This window comes from Homo sapiens, chromosome 5 (genome assembly GCF_000001405.40).
Source record: "Homo sapiens chromosome 5, GRCh38.p14 Primary Assembly".
NCBI classification, from domain to species: domain Eukaryota; kingdom Metazoa; phylum Chordata; class Mammalia; order Primates; family Hominidae; genus Homo; species Homo sapiens.
Window position 1 is genome coordinate 124,465,504 of NC_000005.10, and position 6,174 is coordinate 124,471,677.

Consider the following 6,174-nt stretch of genomic DNA (forward strand, 5'->3'; position numbering starts at 1 on the left):
TTCCCTTGCTATTAGAATATTTCCCTAGAAGAAAGTCAGTGTCAGATGCAAAAATGATATAATGTGCAGTTGTGCAGAAACAAAAGATGTGCTGTAGAATACATATTAAGCAAACACCACAGTAAGCCAACGAACATTGAATGAATACATGAGATGAATAAATAGTGAATAGCATTTTGCATTTATAAGTTCCTTTTTATTGAAACAGTAAACAGTCACATGACCTTGAATATAGCCCTTAGGATTGCAGTAGAGCCAGCTTTGACAGCAATCCAAAAATACTGCAGTTCTAGAGAGACAAAAAAGTGCTAAAATTGATCAATGCCCCAGGTAGGGTTGATGAAAGTTTTACATAAGAGGAAATAACTACTTCAATCTGAATATCATATGCAAAAGTTCAAATCCGCTGTCCAAACTAGCAGCCATATTATCAGAATGGAGAGTCATGTTAGCTATGAATTATATGTCTTTATCTTATAATTGATTGTAAGACGTAACATCAAGTATTATTCTCCATACTAAGCTGATGGTCACTATGGTCACTATTAAATGCTACCAAACTTCAAAAGCTAGAATGCCTAGGAGCAAGGAACAAGATTTTGACATATGTGTTTGTTATACTGTTCATAGAAAATGGTTTCAAATTCCCTAGCCAGAGTCGGGGGAAGCGTCTAAACACAGTAGCTTTCAGTTTGGAAAGAGTGCAGCATTTTAAATACAATATGCTGTTGTGATCGCAAGTGTATTTGTCATAGTGCCAAGAAGGCTGAAAGTTGAGTTTCTGAATTAACACAACATAAAATTCCTCTAGTATTAGCAATTTTTCATCTTGCTCAAATAAATTGTATAAGCATATTTGCCCTATAAAATGGCAGAAAACCTGATACCGTGACTGTACATTCTGTGTTGGATTATCAAGATTGAGTAGTTGATGTCTTCCCACCTTAAAAATAAACTCCGAAGGAGTAACATCAATGGGATGGAAGGCCAGAAGGTCCCAATGTTCTTCTCCCTCATAGAAAAAAGAAGGAACAACTACATGTCAACAAAAATACTGAAGGAAGAGTTCTAGAGTACAGCAAAGGAGCAGCAGAAACACTGTGGAGCACAGAAACCAAGGATGGCTGCTTAGAATAGGGTAGGAAACACATTATCTGTGCCACCCCATGCCCCAGTCAGGATCAGCTTCGAACCTGGAGGAATGTGCCCCTGAGGGGAAACAGTGAGCTGGAGGACTCTGGTTGTCCTCATCACCCCTGCAGACGCCTGAAGTCTTCACCACTGGGGATCCCTGCATTTTTCACCAGCACTGAGCTCAACTCAGGGAGCTTACTCACAACCAAGTGGGATTTAGCCCTGGGATGCAAAGTTGGTTTAACATAACCTAATCAATCAATGTGATATACGACAGTAACAGAAAAAAGACAAAAGCCCCAAAATCATCTCAATAGATGCAGAAAAAACATTTGGCCAAGTTCAGATCCTTTCTTGATAAAAGCTGTCAACAATTTAGGTACAGGAAAGGAAATTTCCACAACATAATTAAAGCTATATAAAATGCTGTCGGGTAACATCATAATCAATAGGGGAAAACTGAAAGACACGAAACTGTAAAACTTCCAGGAGAAAATGTAAAAGAAAGTTCTTTGACATCGGCCTTGGCAATAATTTCTTGGACATCACACAAAATACTCAGGCAAATGAAAAAAAAAAAGGAAAGATAAACAAGTGGAACTCATACATCAAACTAAAAATCTGCATAGCAAAGGAAACAATCAGCAAAATTAAAAGGCAGTCTACAGACTGAGAGAAAATATTTGCAAGCCACATATCTGACAAGGAGTTAATATCCAAAATATAAAGGAAACTCATATAAAAAAAACACACATTTTAAAGTCAGAAAAGGACTTGAATAGATATTTCACCAAAGAACACATATAAATGTCCAATAAGTTTATAAAGAGATGCTTAACATCCCTTATTATTAGAGAAATGCAAATAAAAACCATAAGATATTAGTTCTCACCTGTTAGGATGGCTATTACCAAAAAGACAAGCAATAACAATTGTTGGTGAGGGCATGGAGAAGAAGAAACCCTCATACACTGTTGGTGGAAATGTAAATTGGTATAGCCATTACAGAAAATAATACAGAGGATACTCAAAAAATTGAAAATAGAACTGAATGGTTAACCCAGCAATCACTTTTCTGGATATACTCAAATGAAGTGAAATCAGTATGTTGAAGAGGTATATGAACTCCCATATTCATTGAGCATTATCCACAATAAAAGATATAGAAACAACCTAAGTATCTGTCAATGGGTGAATGGATAAAGAAAAGTGTTGTACATATACAATGAAATATTATTCAGCCTTAACAAAGAAAGAGATCTTGGCATTTACCACAGCAGAGATGAACCTGGAGAATGTTATGCTAACTGAAATAATCCAGACACAGAAAGACAAACACTGCATGAACTCACTTATATGCGGAATATTTGTAAAAGTTGATATGCAAAAAAACAATGTAAAATGGTGGTTACCAAAGACAGGAGGGAGAGTTTGGGGGAGGCTGATGGGGGAGAAATGTAAAGTCATGGGGAAATGTAGGTCAAAGGTCATAAAGTTGCAGTTACATAGGATGAATAAGTCTAGTGATCTGGTGTACAGCATGAGGACTATAGTTAATCATATTGTGCTGTATACTGGAAATTTAGGTGGCTCACCACAAAAAAAAAAGAGAAGGTGGGTAACTCTGTGAGACGATGGATTTGTTAATTGGCTTGACTGTAGTAAGTATTTCACTATGTATATCAAAACATGATGTTGTACACCTTAAATATATACAATAAAAATAAAGACACATATAACAAAAAGAATAAACTACATTTTCTCTCCTATGCAATCTGCGTCTTTTGTTTCGTTTTTGGGGTTTTTTGTTTGTTTGTTTTGCCCATTTGTGCTAACGTAAGACAACACTGTGAAAAAATATATTCACAAAAGACTTGCATTAGCTCTTATTCAGAAAGCTGAATAGAGCCAATTTCTAGGGCAGAGCTGCTTCCTCTTATAGAAAACTCAACTCAATCTTATTTTAATTTTTAAAGAGTGGTCCTACTGGGCAGTAGCGTATTGAACCACCATTGTGTGTGTGAATTTCATGCCTTCAAAGTTGCACACTAGAGAGTCTTCTGGAGTGAAGTTTGTTTATTTGCAGCTCAAGTACTGCCAGGACAGCACTAACAACATCCCCACAGGGTCCTCCAAATACTTGCGCCCCATTTCCCCTATGCCCGACCCCCATAGAGAAGGAAGAGAGTAAACTCCTTGGGCATTGTCCTAATTCTCTAAATTCAACATCCCATTTGGAATGCAAAGCTACAAATTCCAATCCCTGGATGCCCACTCAAAAGCTTTTGAAATGCAACTTTGCTTCTCCGGATTGAGGCTTCCCTGCCTTTTATGATGGAGGTGATGGATAATGCTGACCTACAGAAATTAATTAGTATAATTCACTCGAAGGCTTATTGCTAACATCATTATAATTCATCCCCATAGGAGTCATTTGATTATTGCCTTTCTTGCCAATAAAAATTAAAATAGCTAGTTACTAGTTGCAGATCATTAACCCATTTCAGTCTTTGCCATTATACAGGAATGTAGTGTGGAGGACATCAGGACCCTGACCCCTATGACCCATCCTCTCTGTATAGAAAGGAATTCCGTCATATCCATGAGCCCAATACCAAGAATATACAGACCACAGAGGGAGGGCTAGCTAGATTTCCTAAAACTGCTCAGAGTTGTGGAACACTCAGGAGATACTTCCTTCACTATTTCTCTGAGTGTCTTAAGAAAAATATACAGGATTGAGCAGGAAGAATGAGTTAGCTGCCAAACCCAAAATATTCTCAGTGCCACTGCAGGTTGGTTATATGTAGCATCACATGCCCGAGCAGGTAGTTTATAAACAACTATGTTAATTAATTAGTTAATTAATTACTAATTAACTTGACTTCTAAACACACCACTGTCCAGTGGGAACAGCTTCTGATCCACCCTCGAGATCATTCTTTATACAAAGTGTATTTCACATTCTGTTGCGAATACCCTGCAGTTTTTTCAAAGTTATGTCATAATCGCAATTCACAAAGCTATGTTTCTGTAGGCTCCATATTATTTGTACATGTGTGAAAGATCTTTGTGCCTATTGTAAATGAGGAGTCAGAAGTGTGTTTTACTGGATTAAACTGGATTTATGGATTTTACACATGCATAAATAGTGAAGGAGAAAAGCTCACTTAAAGTAGTTTTGTAAGTTGGAAAAGCATAAACCATTAATAAGTGGTTACTAGTTAATTTTTATTTTTCCTGACTCTAAAAGACCTATTTAGATTATTGGTATTCACATTACTTTCTTCAGCCCAGTGTTTCTGGGGTCTAGACCTAATCTAGTTTCATGATAAGTTTTACCAAATCCCTTTACTTTGTTCTCCTCTAAAAGAGGTCTCTCATTGTATATACAGTCCATCTGAAGTGTATATGTCACAGCTGGATTTCATGAAGAAATTTTTACCTATGAAGTTAATTGCACTGGCCTTTGTCCTAAAAGAAATCTAGTACGGTCACCCTCAGGGTGACTCTTGAGTTTGTGTGCAATCATCACGTGTCAATAGTATTAAATTCAAATGAAATGATGTGAGATGAGTTGGAAAAAAATGACATTGAAGTCTGTGTCTGAGAAAACTAATCTAAGCTATTCTTCACTTCCATAAATATTTATATGTTTATTACCCCCAGAATTTAATAACTATAGACTCTGAAAGAATTACTTTATAAAAAAAAAAAAAATCAAGGACTGTCCTAGCAGAAACCGCAATAGATTGAGACTTCTGTGAGGTATACTTCTAAAATTGCTGTTAGATTCCAATATTTTTTAAAATGGTGAGCATGATATTAGGCATACACTGACTCAAAATCATTATGTGCCAGGTCTAAAATACTTTTAAAAGAAAGTATGTGCATGCTGCAAAAATCACCATCCTTGGCACCTGAACACTAACATTCCAGCCCTAAGTCGACCATTAAACAGATCTATGGCTATATATACTTCATCTGACAGAAAATTAGTTTTTACAAATAAAAAATAGACAGGTGAATAACAGCCTGATCTACATCTGGTGACTGGGGAAGTCTACATATTACAGTGTTCTTTCACTTTTTAAAGTAAAGTGGAAGAGCACCTTAAAACTTTTGGTATAACAGAACTGGTTCCATGTTGCTGGTTTTGCTGTGGCCAAGTATGTACATTTTTACACTCTAACATAGAAACCCTTCATCTCAACAATTATATCTGAATCCCAAAGCTATTTGTAATGGGTTTCTATTCTATTTGACCATTGGTTCTTGTATTTTTAATACTTTTTGTCAGTTCTTTCAGAGTAATACAGGAGCAGTGGTAGAAAAAAGCATAGGTTTTGGGCTTAGGCAGACCTGGGTTCAAATCCCAAGTCTGCCAGTTAGAAAGTGGGTGTCACTGGGCAAGGCCATTATTTCCTTGCCCATCATTTTTCTCATCATTTGTCGAATGAGGGTAGCATTAGTATTTATTTCATAGTGATTTATGAAGAATTTTTAAAAATTATGTACTGAAGGCACAGTGGTACAGCTCAGCTATGTTAGTGTTCAACAAAAGCATTTATTATTAATAAAATAAAGCAAAAATTATGGAGATTTAGTAACTAAAGAACAAATCACCTTGGCATGGTGGCTCATGCCTGTAACCCCAGCACTTTGAGAGGCTGAGGCAGGAGAATCCCTTGAGCCCAGGAGATCAAGACAGGCCTGGGAAACATGGCAAAACCTCATCTCTACAAAAAATACAAAAAGCTAGCCAGGTATGGTAGTGTGTGCCTGTAGTCCCAGCTACTTGGGAGCCTGAGGTTGGAGGATCGGCTGAGCCCAGGAGGTCAAGGCTATAGTCTCACTTGGTCACTCCAGCGTGGGTGACCAAGTGAGACCCTCTCTCAAAAAAACAGACAAACAAAAGAATAAATCAATTGCTGCATTTGTTTAAGACATGAAAAGAACTTCTTTCTGACTGTGTAATGAATTCTACTTTCTAGTGTCAAACTAAGGCTTTTTGACTGATATTCTAAAGTTTTTGAGAAC

The 6,174-nt window shown here is 36.9% G+C and overlaps 1 annotated feature.

Annotated features, from left to right (window-relative positions):
• Positions 2,967-3,808: an enhancer, noted in NCBI's record as "OCT4-NANOG-H3K4me1 hESC enhancer chr5:123804163-123805004 (GRCh37/hg19 assembly coordinates)". NCBI's record gives its function as "activates a minimal SCP1, AML or CMV promoter by ChIP-STARR-seq in primed H9 embryonic stem cells {active_cell/tissue: H9 hESC(primed)}" and the evidence as "EXISTENCE:reporter gene assay evidence [ECO:0000049][PMID:30033119]".